This window comes from Homo sapiens, chromosome 8, assembly GCF_000001405.40.
Source record: "Homo sapiens chromosome 8, GRCh38.p14 Primary Assembly".
Classification (NCBI taxonomy): Eukaryota; Metazoa; Chordata; class Mammalia; order Primates; family Hominidae; genus Homo; species Homo sapiens.
In genome coordinates this window covers 28,619,864-28,640,908 of record NC_000008.11, presented here as the reverse complement: position 1 = coordinate 28,640,908, position 21,045 = coordinate 28,619,864, and the positions used below count along the sequence as shown (strand labels likewise).

The window sequence follows — 21,045 nt, the reverse complement described above, 5'->3', positions numbered from 1 at the left end:
TAATAACAGCTGGGCGTAGTGGCTCACGCCTATAATCCCAGCACTTTGGGAGACTGAGACAGGAGGATCACGTGAGCCCAGGAGTTTGAGATCAGCCTGGGTAACATATTGAGACCCCATCTCCACAAAAATATAAAAATTAGCCGGGTGTAGTGGCACATGCCTGTGGTCCCATCTACTTGGGAGGCTGAGGCAGGAGAACTGCTTGAGCCCAGGAGGTCGAAGCTGCAGTGAGCTATGATCGCACCACTCCACTCCAGCCTAGGCAACAAAGCAAGACCTTGTCTCAAAAAAATAATTAAGTTAAAAATACATAAAAGTGCTAATAAAAGTGTTAATACCATGGTGAAGCCCTGGACTGAAAGTCGGGGGCTCTGAGTTTGAGTTTATGGATCTAATTATGCAACCATAAATAGCTCTGTGGTTTGTGCAAGTTATGGAGACCCTCTGAGCCTCCCCTTCCTAAGCTGTCAAATGAAGTGAATTAGTGCTAGATTTTACTAAGATCTTTTCAATTCTCAAACTTTACCGTTTGTTAAGGGGGAACCATAAGCACATAAATAAAGAGAAAGAATAGATATTATATTTTTAGATTTTTCCAGTTTATGGAATCAATCTAAATTCTAAAATCTAGAAGAGAATTGGAAAACCACTAATACAATTGCATCTCATTTTATGGTACAAGTCAACAAATACATATTGAGTTATACTTTGTAATATTGGGGATATTTCACAAAATAAAGCAAATATCTGCACTCATGAACCTTAGAGTCTGCAGAGGGGTATGGATTTTTTTTTCTTCTTTTTTTGAGACAGAGTCTTACTGTGTTGCTCAGGCTGGAGTGCAGTGGTATAATCTCAGCTCACTGCAACCTCTGCCTCCCAGGTTCAAGTGATTCTCGTGCTTCAGCCTCCCAAGTAGCTGGGATTACAAGCATGCACCACCACACTTGGCTAATTGTATTTTTAGTAGAGACAGGGTTTTGCCATGTTGGCTGGGCTGGTCTAGAACTCCTGACCTCAAGTGATCTGCCCACCTTGGCCTCCCAAAGTGCTGGGATTACAGGCATGAGCCACTGCGCCCATGGGTGATTTAACAAGCAATTACAAGAAAGGGTGATAAGTGCTAAGATGGAAAAAGTAGAATGTTCTAACAGGAAGAGTATATACATACTTCAGTATGAAAGGCTGTCCTCGGTGAAGTTATGTCTAACTTGCAACCCAAAAAGCAGCTGTCAGGAGGGACTCAGGAGAGGAACCGTCCAGGTGGAGGGAGTGGCTCAACTGGCATCAGAGGCCAAACCGCAGGGACCAAGAGGGGAAGTATAAAGAGGTAGGCAGGCAGGGGCAGGCAGGAGCCGCAGCAGGCAGCACCTTTCAGAAAACGTAACACGGAGTTTTGCTTCAGCTTCCTGCTAATGGGTGCTTTGTATATCGAAGGGATGGGACCAGATTTACATTTTCAAAAGATGGTCCCAGCTGTGACGGGAAAAGCGGACTGCAGAGCAGCAGAACCTGAGGCAGGAAACCCCCAGGAGGTCGGACAGGGATGGAGACAAAGGACAGTGACCTGAATTAGATTATTGGCAGCAGGGACGCAGAGAGATTGAGAACCCGGGACTGGACTTGGTGACTAAGCCGATGTTGGGGAAGAGGAGTCAAAAATGATTCCTGGCCAGGCGCGGTGGCTCACGCCTGTAATCCCAGCACTTTGGGAGGCCGAGGCAGGCGAATCACAAGGTCAGGAGTTCAAGACGGGCCAGACCAACATGGTGAAAACCTGTCTCTACTAAAAATACAAAAATTAGCCAGGTGTGGTGGTGGGCGCCTGTAGTCCCTGCTACTTGGGAGGCTGAGGCAGGAGAATTGCGTGAACCTGGGAGTTGGAGGTTGTGGTGAGCCAAGAACACACCATTGCACTGCAGCCTGGGTGACACAGTGAGGCTCCATCTCAAAAAAAAAAAAAAAAATTATTCCTAGCCAGGCTCAGTGGCTCACACCTGTAATCCCAGTATTTTGGGACGTTGAGGTGGGCGGATCACCTGACGTCAGGAGTTCAAGACCAACTTGGCAAACATAGTGAGACCCCGTCTGTACTAAAAATACAAAATTAGCCAGCCATGGTGGCACATGCCTGTAATCTCAGCTACTCAGGAGGCTGAGGCAGAAGAATCGCTCGAACCCGGGAGGCAGAGACTGCAGTGAGCTGAGATTGCACCACTGCACTCTAGCCTGGGTGATAAGAGCAAAACTCCGTCTCAAAAAACAAAACAAAACAAAAGAATCCTAGACTTCCAGCTTAAGAAATTGAGTAGAAGATTGTCTTGTGTTTGCTAAAAGGACTGGGTAAAAGGACTGGGTCTCAGCTTGGAGATGCTGGCAGGCATTTTGCCATCACTTGGAAAGAGGCTGCCTGAGAGTGGAGCGAACAGAGGAAAACAAACCAAGAGACAGGCAGAGGGAGGCTGAGCATGACGACCTTACTTTATGTCTCTGGGCCAGATATCACAGATCTACCTCAGGATTTTCAGGTGCATGAAATAATGCATTTCCTTTGTCATAGGGTTCGTTGGTAGTGGTGTTTTAGTTGGTTGAGTTTATGGAGTTAATTGTGCAACCATAAATAGCTCCATAAACTCAACTATCCCTTTGCTTGGCTGTTACAACCAACCAAGCAAAACACCACTACCAACAAAACCATGAGTTTGGGTTCTGTCACTTGGAACCAAAAGAATTCCAAGAAGATGGGTACAGGGAGAGTAGGGGGCCCAGGGCAGAAATGCCATGGAGGAAGGGATCCAGGAAGATAAGACCAAGAACAAATAGCACGAGGAAAAGGAGGAAAGAAAGTGGGAGAGGACAGGGCCAGCAGAAGAGAATTTCTCAAAGACACGTGCGTCAGGAAAGCCAAATGCTTTCAGGAGATAAGTTAGATAAGGACTAGGACACATACATTGGGTTTAGCAGCAGGGAATTGGTTGTGACTTTTGCAAGGATAGTTTCATTGCAGCCAGGGGAATAGAAGCCAGAGTGAAGGCAGCTGGGGAGCCGAGGAGGAAGGAGGTCCCTGGATAGAAATAATTCTAAGCCAAGAAGCTGGGCTGTGAAGAGGAGGGTTGCTGGAGGAAGACGGATTTTGATGGATGAGATGGGACAAGGTGCAAAGGCTGAGAAGGATGCAGGAGAGGTGATCATCAATAAGAGAGATCCTAGAGAAGGGAGGAAGGAGAAGGCCTAGAGCACAGGCCAATCCACAGATTGATTGTTTTTTTTTTCAGACATGGGGTCTTGCTATGTTGCCTAGTCTGGTCTCAAACTCCTGGGCTCAAGTGATCCTCCCACCTCAGCCTCCTGAGTAGCTGGGATTATAGACACAGGCCACTATCATACTGACTCAATCGACAGATTTAAAGGTTGGCCCTAATCAAAGGAGTGATACTTCTTCAGCTGGAATGGGATAGAAAGAGAGAAAAACTTACTCAGATGCACCTGGGCAGCAGCAGGAACTGTCTGACAGTCTCTCCTGTCTCCATAAAGTAGCGGGCTGGCTCTTTGCTGGGAGTGATGGGAGCCTGGGAGGTTTAAGGGGAATGCGGTGTTTGAAAATCTGCTGCGGAGAACAGGAGAGAGAGAAAGCTGGCTAGAAAATCGACTAAGCTAGGAGAGTCCAGTTGATTAATAGAAACCGTTCCCATTTTACCAGAACCTGTTCAGAAAGAATGGAATCTAGAAGTTTGATTACAATAAAACGACTGATTTATAAAAGGTTTCTTTTATAAAGGAATGTTATTACTGGGATATTTTTCATTAATGACCTGAAAGAGGAACTTTTAGGTTGGCTGATATAACACTATGTTTCCTTCCTCCCTTCCCCGCTCCCTCCCTCTCCCCGCCCCACCCCCTCCACCCGCTTCTTTCTTTCTTTTTCTGAGACAGTCTCACTCTGTTGCCCAGGCTAGAGTGCAATGGCGGGATCTCAGCTTACTGCAACCTCTGCCTCCTGGGTTCAAGCCGGGATTACAGGCACATGCCACCATGCCCAGCTAATTTTTGTATTTTTAGTAGAGACAGGGTTTCACCATGTTGGCCAGGCTGGTCTCGAATTCCTGACCTCAGGTGATCCACCTGTCTCAGCCTCCCAAAGTGCTGGGGTTACAGGCGTAAGCCACCACGCGCCAACCTGCTATAACACTAAGTTTTCCGCAGAGTAAACGGGCAAGTTCATGGAGATCTGCCACCCTAGGAACTCACAACAGGCCCAAAGTGGCCGAAAGGATTCCTAGGCTAGAGTGAGAGCATGAAAAAACCAACTCAAACTGTGCTTGTAAGATAAAGGTCTTGAGAGCTCAGCAATCACCCAGTTGAGATCAAAGTTACAGACAACAATTCTCTTAAGGGCAGATATTGCCCTTGGAGAGAGCAGATACCAAGAGGCTATTAGGTAAGATCCTTCCAGCCCCAATCCTTCCTTGTCCTGTGACAAGATTCCGTTGAGGGTGATAAGAGCTCATGTGAGATATCTGTACTTGAAAGATCTTGTCTCCTGGCGAGTTAGACATTTGTTTTTTTTTTTTTTTGAGATGGAGTCTTGGTCTGTCACCCAGGCTGGAGTGCAGTCGCGCGATCTCGGCTCACTGCAACCTCCGCCTCCTGGGTTCAGGCAATTCTCCTGCCTCAGCCACCCAAGCAGCTGGGACTACAGGTGCGCACCACCACACCCAGCTAATTTTTTTGTATTTTAGTAGAGACAGGGTTTCACCGTGTTGCCCAGGGTGGTCTTGAACTCCTGACCTCATGTGATCTACCCGCCTCAGCCTCCCAAAGTGTGAGGATTACAGGTGTGAGCCACTGTGCTGGACCAACATTTGCATTTTTCAAATTCTATCCTCGGCCGGGGGCAGTGACTCATGCCTGTAATGCCAGCACTTTGAGAGACTAAGGCAGGCGAATTGCTTGAGCTCAGGAGTTCAAAACCAGCCTGGCCAACATGGCAAACCCCATCTCTATTAAAAAAGAAAAGAAAATTCTATCCTTATATTTTATCATCAACAAAGTTGTTGGACAATATTGTCTCAGCCCCTCCTGAAATGTCTTCTCTGAATTACAATGTAGCCTTGTGCTGGAAGTCCTTGGAGAGGTATTACATGAATATTCTGTTTGAATAGTGTGTGTGTGTGTGTGTGTGTGTGTGTGGAGTTGTGGGGGGGTCTCACTATGTTGCCCAGCCTGGAGTGCAGTGGTGCGATCTCAGCTCACTGCAAGCTCCACCTCCCAGGTTCACACCATTCTCCTGCCTCAGCCTCCTAAGTAGCTGGGACTACAGGCACCCGCCACTATGCCTGGCTAATTTTTTTTTTTTTTTGTATTTTTTAGTAGACACAGGGTTTCACTGCATTAGCCAGGATGATCTTGATCTCCTGACCTCATGATCCGCCCGCCTCGGCCTCCCAGAGTGCTGGGATTACAGGTGTGAGCCACTGCGCTCGGCCAATTTTTTTTTTTTTTTTTTTTTTTTTAAGAGACCAGTCTTGCTATGTTGCCCAGGCTGGTCTCAAACTCCTGGGCTCAGGTGATCCTCATGCCTCAGCCTCCTGAGTAGCTGGGACTACAAGTGTGTGCCACCATTCCTTGCTTAGTGTTTTCTGTCTTTTATAGTTAAGGGTATTTCCTACTGAATTATTCAATATCCTTCACATAAAGGAAAAGAAAAAAGCCCAGGCAGGAACGTTGCCACCCTAGGCCTTCCTTGCTTCAGTTTCCATTCATCAACATCATCTTTTATTGAGGAATTTCTAGTTCTTGAGCTAGAAAGTTCATTCCTCCCGGTCCTTCAGAGGACTCATCCTCATTTACAGCCTTCACACACTCCAGGTTACCATGGTCCAGGAGCCGTGTGGGGTGCTAAGTTTACAACGTCATCGCTAACAGGAAAGAATCCACAGACAGTGGACATCGCCCATGCAGAGTGACAGGTGGTAGGATAGGAGGTAGAGTGTGGCAAAAAAGCAGATGTCAGCCGGGTGCAGTGGCTCACCCCTGTAATCTCAGCACTATGGGAGGCCGAAGCGAGCGGATCACTTGAGGTCAGGAGTTCAAGACCAGCCTGGCCAACATGGCAAAACCCGTCTCTACTAAAAATACAGAAAATTAGCTGGGTGTGGTGGTGCACGCCTGTAATCCCAGCTACTCCAGAGGCTGAGGCAGGATAATCACTTGAACCCGGGGGTGGAGGTTGCAATGAGCTGAGATTCCGCCACTGCACTCCAGCCTGGGCAACACAGTGAGACTCCATCTCAAAAAAAAAAAAAAAAGCAGATGTGGTCATCTCTTCCCTCTTCCAGGATGGGCAGAAAGAGCCAGGAAGGGCCTCCCGGAAGAGGAGGTGGCACTTCAGCAGAATCTTGAAGGCTGAGGATTCCGCCAGGTTGGGAAGGTGTGGAGGGGTGGGAAACGGAGGGACCCGCAGAGGATAAAACAGCATGAAAGGTGTAACAGACTTCTTCCTGGGTGCTGCGAGCTGCACGGCCTGAGTAGAGCCGGGGGTAGGGAGCGATCAGGAGGGGAGTCCTGACAAGGAAGTGACAGGGGCCAGGCAGACACAGCATGGCTTAAGAACAATGAAGAACTTTGGACTCTATCCTGGCCCAGATGTGAACCGATCATTTCTCCTCCTTGATTTAGCTTAGATGAGAATTTTAAAAGAGAATTTTTGCTAAAACACAAAGGGAAAAGCAAACAAATACGAAAGCATAAAAACAAAAAGCTCAGAGATCCCAGATTTCTCAGCCTGCTCCACTAAGTTCTGGCCCCAGATGGGCTTGGCCCCAGCCCTGTTTCTCTCCTCAACCCGGCCCATGTGGATGCTGGGACTGTCCAGCACAGGCCTTGTCCATGGGTCTCAACAAGGGGGCAGATGGGATTTCCACTCCTACCAGATTCCGTGTCTGAAAAGTCACCCCTGGGCGATCTTGCTAACACAGAGGTCGGCTGAGTTTCTGTTCTGTAGCGGCCCCTGGAGGTCTTGTTCTAAATCAGGGATCAGCGAACGTTTTCTGTCAAGGGCCACATAGTAAACATGTAGGGCTTTGCAGGTCATTCGTATCTCCATCACAGCCACTGAAGACTAATGCAGTGCTGATGGCTTTAGATGGCATGTAACATCTTTAGACAGCATGTAAACAAAAGGGCGTGAATGTGTTCCAAGGAAACCTTATAAACACTGAAATTTAAATTTATATTATTTTCATGTCATAAAATATTATTATTATTATTTTTGAAACAGAGTCTCGCTCTGTCACCCAGGCTGGACTGCAGTGGGGCAATCTCAACTCACTGAAACCTCCGCCTCCTGGGTTCACGTGATTCTCGTGCTTCAGCTTGCCAAGTAGCTGGGACTACAGGCGCCCAACACCACACCCGGCTAATTTTTGTATTTTTAGTAGAGATGGCCAGGCTGGTCTCAAACTCCTGGTCTCAAGTGATCTGCCCACCTCAGCCTCCCAAAGTGAGATTACAGGAGTGAGCCACCACACCTGGCCTGATTTATTTTTTTATTTTTATTATTATTTTTGCAGACAGGGTCTCATTCTGATGCCTAGGCTGGAGTGCAGTGGTGCAGTCATGGCTCACTGCAGCCTCAACCTCGCAGCCTCCAGTGATCCTCCCGCCTCAGCCTCCTGAGTAGCTGTGAATACAGGCGTGCGCCAACACACCTGCCTAATTTTTAAAATTTTGTAGAGATGGGGTCTTGCTATGTTACCCAGGCTGGTCTTGAAATCCTGGCCTCAAGTGATCCTCCTGCCTCAGCCTCTCAAAGCACTGGGATTACAAGTGTGAGCCACAACACTCGGCCTCTATTTTAATTTTTTTCCCAACCATTTAAAAATTTACACACCATTCTTAGCTCATGGACTACGAAAACAGACAATGGGCCAGATTTAATATTTTTATTATTTATTAATTTTAAACAAATGATACTAATATATACCATCTGCCGAGCATCTTCTAATTGCCAGGTAGTATGTACCACAGAGAGTTGCTATTAAGAATAAATGTGGCTGGGCATAGTGGCTCACGCCTGTAATCACAGCACTTTGGGAGGCCGAGGCAGGCAGATCACCTGAGGTCAGGAGTTCGAGACCAGCCTGGCCAACATGGTGAAACCCCGTCTCTACTAAAAAATACAAAAATTAGCTGGGTGTGGTGGCGTGCCTGTAAATCCCTGCTATTTCGAAGGCTGAGGCAGGAGAATCGCTTCAACCCAGGAGACAGAGGTTGTGGTGAGCCGAGATCGTACCACTCTACTCTAGCCTGGGCAACACAGCAAGACTCCTCTCAAAAAAAAAAAAAAAAAAGAATAAATGAGATAATGCAGTTAAAACACTTAGCAGAGGGCCTGCACTAAGGTCTCAATCATTGTTAGCACTCATTATTATTACTATTATTATTGTTTATATACCTTAACTTTAATTGGCAAAACAACCAAGAAATACGAGATAACTCTTTTGTTTTTTGAAATGAAGTTTCACTCTTGTTGCCCAGGCTGGAGTGCAATGGCATGAACTCAGCTCACTGCAACCTCTGTCTCCTGGGTTTAAGCGATTCTCCTGCCTCAGCCTTCCAAGTAGCTGGGATTACAGGTGCCCAGCTAATTTTTGTATTTTTAGTAGAGATGGGGTTTCACCATGTTGGTCAGGCTGGTCTTGAACTCCTGACCTCAGGTGATCCACCTGCCTCAGCCTCCCAAAGTGCTGGGATTACAGGCGTGAGCCACCACGCCTGGCCCAAGATAAATTTTTTTTTTTGGTGGGTGGTGGCGGGATGGAGTCTCACTCTGTCGCCAGGCCGGAGTGCAGCGCAGTGGCTCAATCTTGGTTCACTGCAACCTCCGCCTCCCAGGTTCAAGTGATTCTCTTGCCTCAGCCTCCCAAGTAGCTAGGACTACAGGCGTGCACCACCACACCCAGCTAATTTTTGTATTTTTAGTAGAGACGGGGTTTCACCATGTTGGCCAGGATGGTCTCGATCTCTTGACTTTGTGATCCACCCAACTCGGCCTCCCAAAGTGCTGGGATTACAGGCATGAGCCACTGTGCCCGGCCCAAGATAACTCTTAATATCCCATTGAGGATCAGAAAATTAAGTACTTTGTGAAACTAGCAACTAGCAGACCTAGGATTTGAACTTGATATACCTGACTTCAAAGTCCATGCCTTTTCCATGGCATCATCCTACCTCCTGTTTAGTTTATCTGAAGCATATTCCCTGGATGGTTGCTAATCCCTGGTCCGCCCATCAGCAGCAGGCATTATCATCCCCAGAGCCTGCTATCTTGTGTCAGGATTAGCACAGGACTTACTCTATTCTTGTTTTAACACTTCAACGCCTGTTGGACCACTTAGCTCTTATTTCATGCCAAGGGATCCTCTGCCCTGTAGCACAGAGAAAATAACTGAGCTCAGAACAATGAGAACTTTTCCAGTCTTCTCACTTCTCCAGGTTCTTCTGATGACTCATCGCCAGGTAACTTCCTGAAAGTGACTCTCCCAGAATCCTAGCACACCAGGATTCTAACAGTAAACCACTTTACACATCAGTCATAACTCCAGATAGCTTCCACCAAAGGTAAGAAGAGTGCCGTGGTATAAAAACCATCAGAGCTGTCCATAAAATGTTACTGATGGTACTGTTCACAGCTTCAAAATTATATTCAAGGGAGGCCACGTGATAATCCTTCCTTGATTTAGCTCCAGAAAAAAAAAAAAAGTCCTCTCTAAAGTTGAATCTGTGTACTTTCTCTTACTAGAATAAGAAAATGATGTCACCCGACCTGTTTCCTTTTCTGTCGTGGCTTCTAAGAAACTTAAAGCCAAATTCTGTGCCAAAATGTCTCATCTCAGGTGTCCCACGGGATTTATTTCTGCTTCACTGCTTTGATCACTTTTATGTTTTATAATTTTAAAAACAGCTAGTCTCTACTGTGCGTCTCCTATATACCTGGCACCATGCCATTCCTGACATGCCTTCCTTCTTTCTGCATACATTTCCTGATATACCTTCTTTCTTTCCTGTATGCATTTCCAGCAAAGTTCTTTGACACCTCACCCACTTGTCTATCTACGTGTCTGTCTTCCTCCGCCCCAGTTATAAGCCTCTCAATGGCAGGCACCATGTCTTACCCATCCTTACCTGTTCTGCTCCTAACACAGTATTGCCACTAACGTGGCACTCAGTAAAAGTGCTGAATGAAAACATTAATGGATTTCTAATTCTCCCAACAACTCTGTAAAGTTGTTACTGCATTTTACAGATGAGGAAACGTAACATTCTGGTAGGTTAGTTAATTTTTCCAAGGTTCCAGAGTTTGATAAGTGGTTTCAAAGCTGGCCATTGTTTTACTAAACTACCCTAGTGCCTTATTTTTTAAGTTATGTTTTATCTTGTAGTCTACAACTCAACTCTCCTGGGAGCAAGCAGATACAAATAGTGGGTTAGTGGGTTAATGTATTAGTACTGCTAATAAAGACATACCCGAGACTGGGTAATTTATAAAGAAAAAGAGGTTTAATGGACTCACAGTTCCACATGGCTGGGGAGGTCTCACAATCACAGCAGAAGGCAGAGGAGCAAAGGCACATCTTACATGGCAGCAGGCAAGAGTGTGTGTGCAGGAGAACTCCCCTTTATAAAACGATCAGATCTCATGAGACTTATTCACTATCACGAGAGCAGCATGGGAAAAACCTGCCCCCATGTATCAATTACCTCCCACCAGGTCCCTCCCACGACACATGGAGATTATGGGAGCAACAATTCAAGATGAGATTTGGGTGGGGACATAGCCAAACCATATCAGTTAAAAAAGAAAAAGAGGCTCTATCTACCTTTATGCATCATCGTGATGAGTCAACCTGGCTTTATCCTTAGAGGCCACAAGATTGGGATGTCGTCCCAGGAAAATTGTGGGTCTTCCAGATTGCACCCCCTTCCACATCTCTCTCTCTCTCTTGCATCTCTGCTTATCTCTGAATAGCTCTCCTTTTAGTCTGTCTTTTGGGTTTTCTGCTGCATGTATCACTGGGAACCTCCATGCAGGCATTAAGACCTCCAGGCAATCCCCATACCTGGTCTCTGCCGGAGCAAGTTACACCAACAGGATTCCAGTCCTTCTGCATCTTAGAGCCCCTAGACACACATCCGAATTGGAACCCTGTAGCTCTGGGTGGCTTCCTTGATGGAACTGAAACTGTCTCTGGCATTTGGCACCGCCCACCTTCATCTCATAACATCTCCCCTCCAACTCTACCTATTCCCGAGGGGCCCCATCCAGGAGTCAATGAAAGCTTACATAAAAGGAGTTTATGTCCAAGGGCAACTGGCAGAACATCTAGAATAAAGATGGCAGATGGTTGTTACTAGATAGAAAAACTAGAAATTGGAGAAGATATTTGACACGTTGTCGGCCCTCAGATATTTGATAATGAATGAATGAATGAACTAACTCACTCTAACGTCACCACTTTCCCACCTTGATACCTAGACAGCCAGCAACCAAACACCAAATTCTAAGCACCCAAATCTCTTCAGCCATGGTAGTCCTATGAATGTGCTGTAGCAAGACTGATTGAGATGGAAAACTCGGTTTGTTTTCTGCTTGAAAAGCAAGCCAGAGCACATCTTTGTCAGTCAGCCCAGAGATTCCTTCTCAGTACCAGGCACTGGTTGTCTTTCAGGGGGAATTGGAGGGTGGGGGTGGGGGAGGGTGGACAGGTTTTGGCTTCACATCCTCCCTTTGCTTGAAGTTGCTCAGTGACCCTAGGCAGTCACTGGATAGCTCGGGCCTCACCGTTCTCATCTGTAAAAAGAGGAAGTTGAACTAAATGCCATCTCTGCCACCTTCCAGCTTCTCATTCTGTGATTTTTCCTCCAGGAATCCAGCCAGCATTCTTTCCTTGGGCTGGAATCTATGAGATGCCCATTTTAATCTTCCTGGTTGCATTTCCTAGTCTTCCTTATCACAAATCTGTCAGGAATTGGAGACCAGCCTGGCCAACACTGTGAAACCCCATCTCCACAAAAAATACAAAACTTAGCCAGGAATGACGGTGTGCACCTATAATCCCAGCTACTCGGGAGGCTGAGGCAGGAGAATTGCTTGAATCTGGGAGGCAGAGGTTACAGTGAGCAGAGATTGTGCCACTGCACTCTAGCCTGGGAAACAGAGTGAGACTCTGTCTCAAAAAACAAACAAAAAACAAGTTTGTCACAAGCTCCTAGGCCTTGGGAATCTGATCATAACGTGACATACCATAGGACTTTTTATGTGTGTGGTAAAATAGATTGAACATAAAATTGGCCATTTTCACCAGTTTTTATTGAAGCGATGAGGTCTCGCTCTGCTGCCCAGGCTGGAGCAGTGGTGCAATGATAGCTCACTGCAGCCTCAACCTTGGCTCAAGTGATCCTCCTGCCTCAGCCTCCTGAGTCACTGGGATTACAGGCGTGAGCCACCCTGCCCAGCTATCTTAACCATTTCTTTTTATTTTTTGAGATGGAGTCTCACCCAGTTGCCCAGGCTGGAGTGCAGTGTTACGATCTCAGCTCACTGCAACCTCTGCCTCCTGGGTTCGAGCGATTCTCCTGCCTCAGCCTCCCGAGTAGCTGGAATTAGAGGCTCGTGCCACCACATCCAGATTATTTTTGTGTTTTTAGCAGAGACGGGGTTTCACCATGTTGGCTGGGCTTGTCTTGAACTCCTGACCTCAGGTGATCCACTAGTCTCGGCCTCCCAAAGTGCTAGGATTACAGGTGTTGAGTCAATGCACTTGGCTTATCTTAACCATTTTTAAGTGCAATGGTGTATGACATTAAGCACGTTCACATTGTTGTGTAACCATCACCATCATCCTTCTCTAGAACTTTTTCATCTTCCCAGGCTGAAACTCTGTACCCATTAAACATGAACTCCCCACTCCTCCTCCCCCTAGCTTCTGGCAACCCCCATGCTTTCTGTCTCTATGAGCTTGACTGCTTTAGGGACCTCATACGAGTAGAATCATATAGCATCTGTTCTTTTGTGACTGGCTTATTTCACTTAGCATGATGTCCTTAAGGTTCATCCATGTTGTAGCATGTGTCAGAACTTCCTTTTTAAGGCTAAATAATATTCCATTGTTTGTACTGACACATTTTGTTTATCCATTCATCTGTCCATGAACACTGAGGCAGCAGCCACCTTTTGGCTACTGTAAAGAACTTTGCTAGGTACATGGATGTATAAATATCTATTCAAATCCCTGCTTACAATTCTTTTGGCTTTAAATCCAGAAGTGACATTGCTGATCACATGATAATTCTATGTTTCATTTTTTCCAGAACTTCTATATGATCTTTTTCAAGGAGACTTTTTTTTTTTTTTTTTGAGACAGGGTCTCACCCAGGCTGGAATACAGTGATGCAATCACAGCTCACTGCAGCCTCTCTCTACCTCCTCAGCTCAAGTGATCCTCCTAGCTCAGCCCCAACTAGTAGTTTGGGCAACAGATGCACGCACAACCATGCCAGGCTAATTTTTGTATATTTTTGTAGAGACGAGTTTTGCCACGTTGCCCAGTCTCAAGTGATCCGCCTGCCTCAGCCTCCCAAAGTGCTGGGATTAGTCATGAGCCACTGCGCCCAGCCTCAAGGGGAATTTTTTTTATTTTTTTTAATTTTTTTTTTTTGAGATGGAGTCTCGCTCTGTCGCCCAGGCTGGAGTGCAGTGGCGTAATCCTGGCTCTGGCTCACTGCAAGATCCACCTCCTGGGTTCACGCCATTCTCCTGCCTCAGCCTCCTGAGTAGCTGGGACTACAGGCGCCCGCCACCACGCCCAGCTAATTTTTTGTATTTTTAGTGGAGACAGGGTTTCACCGTGTTAGCCAGGATGGTCTCGATCTCCTGACCTCGTGATCTGCCTGCCTCGGCCTCCCAAAGTGCTGGCATTACAGGCATGAGCCACCACGCCCAGCCAGGGGACTTTTAAATGCATAAACAGTATTGCTTGAGAAGCCAGGCACTGCGGTCTCACTCCCATGCTGACGCCTGAGGTGTGGGTTTACCTGGAAGGGCTGTCCCACCTCAGTCTTCAGAGGCAAGGACCAATCTGCTGTTCAGAATGAGCCCTGTATGAAAAGACTGCACCTGGAGCTGATTGTGCCTCTGCCCTCACCAGTGCCTCAGTACACGCTTCTGGGAAGTGGGCTAATAATACTCAACTTACAGGGTTTTTATAAGATTCAGGGATAGTGAACACAAAGTGCCTAAGTAAACACTTACAGAATGCGCCTATTAATCTACCCTACAAAAAGCAAAGGGTGGTTACAAAAACCAAATGAAATCATGTCTAAGAAAGCTGATAATGTCTAGGAATGCATGACCATTTGGCCACACGTTCCACCAACGCTGCACCCTCATCATTTCTTTCCTAATCACTGCTGCAGCCTCTTAACAGCTCTTCCTGCCTCCTACCCTCCTAAGTCCATTCTTCACTGAAGCCTCAGAGTAAGCTGCTTAAAGCAGATCTGATCCTGTTATTCTCCCACCAAAGTTTCCAGTGGCTCCCCCTGCCTTTACAAGACTTTTTATGGTGTGACCCCGTCCTCTTTCTTTAGTCTTATTCTATATCTTTCTAGGCCTCATATTTTGGTACTTTATCTCCACCATTTAAAAAATTTTTTTAGTTTAATTTTTTTTTTTTTTTAGACAGGGTCTCACCCTGTTGCCCAGATTGTAGTGCAATGGTGCAATCTCAGCTCACTGTAACCTCCACCTCCTGGACTCAAGAGATCCTCACACCTCAGCCTCCCAAGTAGCTGAGACAACAGGTGTGCACCACCTCACCTGGCTTTTTTTTTTTTTTTTTTTTTTTTTTTTGGAGAAATGTGGTCTCACTATATTGCCCAAGCTGGTCTCAAACTCCTGGGTTCAAGCAATCCTCCCACCTTGGCCTCCCAAAGTGCTGGGATTATAGGCGTGAGCCACCGTGCCTGGCCTTTACCTCCATGATTTTGTTAATGTTTGTTCCCTCTACCTGGAGCAGTCTCCTCCCACTTCTGGCTAAAACTTAGTCATCCTTTAATACTAATTTCAGGCACTGATTTTTTCAGAGGTCCGATAGCACTACGAGCAGACATCTATCATCATACCAACTGCATAATTATCTCTGGGTTGATTTCCCCAACTAGATCAGCTTCTTAAAGTCAGATGTTAAACTATTTATCTTCATATTCCTAATCCTAAAACTGTGCTAGGGTGTTTATTGAACAAATACATGAATAGGAATAGAGTGATGTTTTTATTATTGGAAACCTGGACAGTTCATGTATGAGTGACTATCTCCTTCAGAATAACTACTTCTATAACCTCACATTACATGACTATTATTTAAAAATTAGTATCATTAGACAATAATTTTGTTTTAAATTGGCACCACAAAGGGGGAAGCCACAGAGGAAATGCTCTGAGTTCCTCTCTATTGTTCTTTCTGCGTTCCTTTTTCCCTTCAAAATAAATGATGTGTTTTAACACAGAGCTACTCATGTCTTTATGGTTCTTCTGAGAGATGTTTCTGTTTCATCAGTGTCTAAGAAATATGCCGGCCCCTACTTCTGAGGTCTTGATGACACAGCCTCCATTTATAGATCCTATGTGCAGTGTTTTCACTAGGAGTGAGCTAAAGCTATGAGTCCAGTCTTGCACTTAGTAGGTAAATAATCTGCAGAAAAAATGAGTAATTGGTGAGTCACTCACCTGTTTGAGTTAACTCCTCTAAGTGCCGGTCTGTAACTGCGGGTCAGTTTTTAAAGTTTACCTCCTTTAGAAGCAAAAAGTATGCCAGCTGTGCCTTTTTGGAAGCATACAGGCATTGGAAGATTGTAAAAAACAGTGGGTCATTTTTTAAATTAACCTAACGTGTGTGTATTCACAGTTGATGCTGGAGATACTTGATCTGCTTATTTTTTTAGTTAGCCCATGAATTTGTATTTAAATTTCTTGATCTGAGTGTCAGTGTCTTTCCATAGGAATCACTTGAGGGTTTGGGTTTACTGATGTTTGCAAACCACTGTGCAAAGTTATTGTCTGAATTTAACATGTTTTTAAACTTCCTTTTAAGCTTCAGATGGTGCCTTCTAGTTCTTATGGTGTCGGTGACTATTAATAACTAGATTTTGGTTTTATCTTTTGGGTTTATTGTCCCTCCAGGGAAGTCAAAATGGTAATCACTAACATATACTAATTTTTTCTTGTTTTTAATCTTTTAAAGATTTGTTTCTTTTTACTCACAATTACAAAATGATTTTTATTTTTTGAGACAGGGTCTCACTCTGTCACCCAGGCTGGGGTGCAGTGGGGTGGTCTCAGTTCACTGCAACCTCTGCCTCCCAGGATCAAGTGATCCTCCCACCTCAGCCTACCAAGTAGCTGAGACCACAGGTGCTCACTACCATGCCGGCTAATTTTTTCATTTTTTGTAGACATGAGGTTTCGCCATGTTGCCCAGCATGGTCTTGAACTCTTGAGCTCAAGCAATCCTCCCACCTCGGCCTCCGGATGTTCTAGGATTACAGGTGTGAGCCACCACACCCGGCCTCACAATGCTTTTAAATGAATATTAACGTGAGATGTGGAATATTGTATGTAATAGGCAATTCATAATTTCACATTTTGAAAAAGAACTGATAATTCCAGAGCAAAGTACTCAGAGTTTGTTAAGGACCAGCAGGAATTTCTGCTTAACAAAATATTTAGAATCCCAACAACTCTGAGACTTATCTCCTTTCCCTGGGGATAGGTAAGGTGAGAACAATTGGAAAGAATTTTCTTCAGTTCTGGGGATGAGGAGAATTTTCTTATTATCTCAAGTCAACAGGTATGACTGTCTAGCAAAAAAGGAATGTGAGTTCATTGCTAGCATTTTAGACTTGGAATGAACAATAAATATAATATTAATAGTTCAACCTTCTCAGAGGCAGAAACGTTTTAAAACCAAGCTTGCCTGATTTCCCATCTGCTGCCTTTTACGAGCAGCAAATTTGTTAAGGAGGATCATGTTTACCTGATGAATATCTTTCAGTTTTCCTAATTATAACCTTTATTACTAAATGCCTAAAGGAGTTCACAAGTAAAATCAACCAATTCGTATTTATGGGAATGAAAATATAGGGGGAAGGTTTTAAATAAAAACATATCTTTAAAAACATGAATTATGTTACATGGGGGATAAGGATCAAAAGACACACGTGCTTTGCCAAGCCTTGAAAAGTAGGCAAAGATGGGGTCTAGACTTTCAGCATGGAGCCTTCAGGACAGGACATGCTTACCAAGGGGTGAGACTGAACGGATGGAGCCCTGCAGGGTGACCCAGAAACAGGCTGAGGACAAACACCAACAAAACTCAGCATTCCGAGCGCCCCCTATTCCCGGGCTTCCAATCTGCCAAACTTAACTTTTGAAAAGCTCAAATTGTGGGATCCCAAATTAAAGTCAGCTGTGCTGAGGGGCTCGCAGGTACGGCTGGCTTTGGGGTCCGCATTCTGTGGTGTCCTCTGGGGTAGGTGTGTTTGGGGCTGCAGGGACTGGAGGGCACCCACGGCACGGGCTTACCCACGGGGACAGCGCCTCCTGACAGCGCGCGAGGCGGGCGCGTGGCAGATGCCGCTTACCCCGTACCCGAGGCAGCAGGGGTCGGGACCCCCGCCCACAGTGTGATACGGACCCCTGCCGACAGCCACACTCTCCCAGTTCTCACAAATTCCCGCCTCTGTAGAAACCCAGCCCAGCCCACCCCGGAGTTCACGTCCACACTCCGAGGCAGGGGACATGGACCGCGAGCTTGCAATCGCCCGCCCCAGACGCCCAGAGCAGGCGCCCCACGTCCGGCCCGCGGGCAGGACGACGGGGCCAGACAAAGAGTTTTAAAATCGATCCCCCGGGTAAAGCCCGGGCTACAGCGAGAAGTGCGAAGCCGTCTCTAAATTTTAGCAGCTCGCCGCTTCTCCCGTTGGCACGACGAAGAAAAGACTTCCCACCCCCGAAAGGGAAGATCCCGAAGAGCCCCTACCTCGCTGCAGCGCCAGGTCCCGCGGTCTCCAGCGGCGGCCACTGCAGCCGGCGACAGCGCCAGCGGCCCGGCCCCGCCCTCTCCACGGTCCCGCCCCCTGAGGCCCCGCCCTCGGCTCACCGCATCCCCGGCCCGGCCGGCCGGCTCCCGGTCCCACCCACTGCCCCCTGGGAGGCTCCCGGCTCCGCCCCCCGAATACCCCGCCCACCGCCCCCTCGGCGGCTCCCGGCCCCGCCCCCTAACGCCCCGCCCACCGCCTCCGCGTCGGCTCCCGGCCCTTTCCTCGGAGGCCCCGCCCTCGCCGGCTCCCGGGCCCGCCTTCTCGCGGCCCCGCAGCTGGGTTCAAGACTGTCGTGCAGGCCCCAGAGCCCGGTGCATTGTGGGACGCCGCAGCCAATGCCGAGCCTGCGCTGCCTCCTGGCGGGCGCCGCTGCAACAACACCAGCACCCGGCTGCACACGGCGGAGGGCTATACGGCACCGGGCGCCTAGCGCAGAGGGCGCCGGTCGCTGGGGTCCGGTAAAACATGAAAATGAGCCGGATGCTTAGAGTGCGGGGCTACCTCCCGCTTAGCGACATAAGGAAACGCGAAAACAGCGTTAAGACTAGGGCAAGCTTTCGAAACTAGGGAAAATCATTACAAAGGATCAAACGAAATGACGTCAAGGGGAGGGAGAAACCTGCACGCGTCGTTTTTATTTCTGGGGAAACCACAGGTCAGCTCAGTCTAGAGAAGAACGGGGTTCTGTGTGACAGGGGCTAAAATTGGAATCCAGAACTCTTCCCGTACATGCCCCGAGGAAAAAGTTTAAATGCAGTTAAAAAATAAATTACACAAAAATGTAGTGAAAAATGAGAATATAACAAATGACTAGTAAGTCGCTATTTAAATAAGAATATGAACATTGTCACTACGTGGAAATATTTCTGTCATGCGATGTTAAGTGACAAACACACACAAGACAGCACGTGGCCAGTGATTTCAACTGTGGCAAATCTGCGTGTCCACAAACAGAAGAAGCAGCTTCCAAGTAGCTTAGAGTTTAATGCGTCTTAAGGTTCTTTATTTTTATTAGATCAGTTTTTAACGTTTCTGAGTGGTTGGGACTAATCCTAATTGTGGATGGCATTGCAATATTTCAGTTTTCCCTCACTGTAAGTAATAATTATAAAAAGTGATCCAGGAAGAAAACATTCTGAGGCGTTAGGGAACTATGACAATTTTGCTTGTCTGCAAACCCTGGTGGGGCACAAATGGAAAAGTACATTTAGCAGGGAGTGTATTGGTTAGCTAGCGCTGCTGTCAGAAAGTGCCATAAGCTAGGGGGCTAAATCAGCAGACGTGTGCTGTCTCACAGTCCTGGACGCTGGAAGCCTGTGTTCAAGGTGTGGGCAGTGTTGGTTCCAGTTCTGATGACTGTGAGGAAAGATTGTTTCAGGCCTCTCTCCTGGGTTGTAGATGGCCAGCTTCATGTACACGTGGCATTTTTCCTGTGTCCAAATATATCCCCCTTTTATAAGAACACCAGTCATATTAGATTTGGGGCCCACCCTACCCTACTCCAGCATGCCCTCATCTTAACTAATTACATCTGCAATCATCTGATTTCCAAATAAGGTCATATTCTGAGGTACTGGGGCTTAGGACTTCAGCCTGTCAGTGGGGAAGGAGGGGGACAATTCAGTGCACACCTGGAGATTCAAAGTGTAATCTTTGGAAAATCACACACACTGAATGACAAAAACAATCATAATTAACAGTAATGTACATGATCTTAAATGTATCAAAAAGCCAACAATGGGCACTGTGGCTCACATCTGAAATCCCAGCACTTTGGGAGGCTGAGAGGGGAGGATCGCTTGAGCTCAGAAGTTAGAGACCAGCCTGGGCAAGATAGCCAGACCCAGTCTCTACAAAAATAAGCAAGTTATCCAGGCATGATGGTGCCCACCATAGCCCCAGCTACTTAGTAGGCTGAGGCAGGAGGATCACTTGAGCCTAGGAGTTCAGGGCTGCAGTGAGCTAATGATTACATCACTGTACTACAGGCTGAGTGATAGAGTGAGACCCTATCTCTTAAAAAAAAGAAAAGAAAACAAAAGAAAAGCTAAACGGTTAAATATAGTCAAACCAAATTGATTACAGTGTTTTTGTTTCTGTTTAACACCTTTCTGGCCTTTCCAGTTTAACTGCGAGATGTTAATGAGCTAAGACAGCCTAGAGGCCATGAAGCCTACATGGGGTATGTAATGTGCCTGGATTCCGGTCCAAATGCCTGAGACCGGTGTAGGGGCAGCATCTCTTGCATTTGAACCTCAGGAACATGAGAGGACAGGGGTTGGCAGTTATGGGAAACAGCATCCCCATTCTTGGATGGCACACACAATCCATCCTGCTGAAGAACTCAGAGCTCTAGTTCAAGTTCCATAGGAGCCTGCAGAATGTGCTTGTGAACTGAGCCCTCTCTCAGTTAGCCTGACCACAGGGGTGAAATGAGAAGTTCTACAATGTTAGGAAGCACTGGCCCTGCCTGCTGAGGTGGTGGGGACCTAGCAGATCTCAGAGAAATGAAGCCCTGCCTGGCACTGTGGGATCAGTTTTTTTCTTGCAGGAGTCTGTCTGCAAGAATCAGAAGCCGGCCAGGCGCGGTGGCTCACACCTGTAATCCCAGCACTTTGGGAGGCCGAGGCGGGCAGATCACTAGGTCAAGAGATCGAGACCATCCTGGTTAACACAGTGAAACCCCGTCTCTACTAAACAGATATAAAAAAATTAGCCGGGCATGGTGGCAGGCGCCTGTAGTCCCAGCTACTCGGGAGGTTGAGGCAGGAGAATGGCGTGAACCCGGGAGGTGGAGCTTTCAGTGAGCCAAGATCGCGCCACTGTACTCCAGCCTGGGAGACAGAGCGAGACTCCGTCTCAAAAAAAAAAAAAAAAAAAAAAAAA

At 46.8% G+C, this 21,045-nt stretch overlaps 1 protein-coding gene across 7 annotated transcripts in view, besides 3 other annotated features; it reads right to left on the bottom strand.

The window, feature by feature from the left end:
- EXTL3 (exostosin like glycosyltransferase 3) overlaps positions 1 to 21,045 on the bottom strand; it is a 148,827-nt gene that overhangs the window by 115,654 nt on the left and 12,128 nt on the right. For 2 of the 7 annotated variants that reach the window (NM_001438753.1, NM_001438402.1), the window contains exons 1-2: positions 18,099 to 18,173; positions 3,480 to 3,607 (exon numbers count right to left, since the gene is read on the bottom strand). The exons of 1 other annotated variant lie outside the window; for it this stretch is intronic. The gene's annotated coding sequence lies outside the window, so the exon portion shown is untranslated. Of the gene's footprint in view, positions 1 to 3,479; positions 3,611 to 18,098; positions 18,174 to 21,045 lie in introns of those variants that run through there. 4 more of the 7 variants (NM_001438751.1, NM_001438399.1, NM_001438401.1 and 1 more) reach the window with 3 other exon arrangements.
- Positions 18,152 to 18,411: a silencer, noted in NCBI's record as "silent region_19061". NCBI's record gives its function as "represses an Ori minimal core promoter by ATAC-STARR-seq in GM12878 lymphoblastoid cells {active_cell/tissue: GM12878}" and the evidence as "EXISTENCE:reporter gene assay evidence [ECO:0000049][PMID:35858748]".
- Positions 18,152 to 18,769: a biological region, named in NCBI's record as "ReSE screen-validated silencer GRCh37_chr8:28479657-28480093".
- Positions 18,333 to 18,769: a silencer, noted in NCBI's record as "fragment chr8:28479657-28480093 (GRCh37/hg19 assembly coordinates)". NCBI's record gives its function as "represses an EF-1alpha promoter that drives an FKBP-Casp9 reporter gene in an ReSE screen in K562 erythroleukemia cells {active_cell/tissue: K562}" and the evidence as "EXISTENCE:reporter gene assay evidence [ECO:0000049][PMID:32094911]".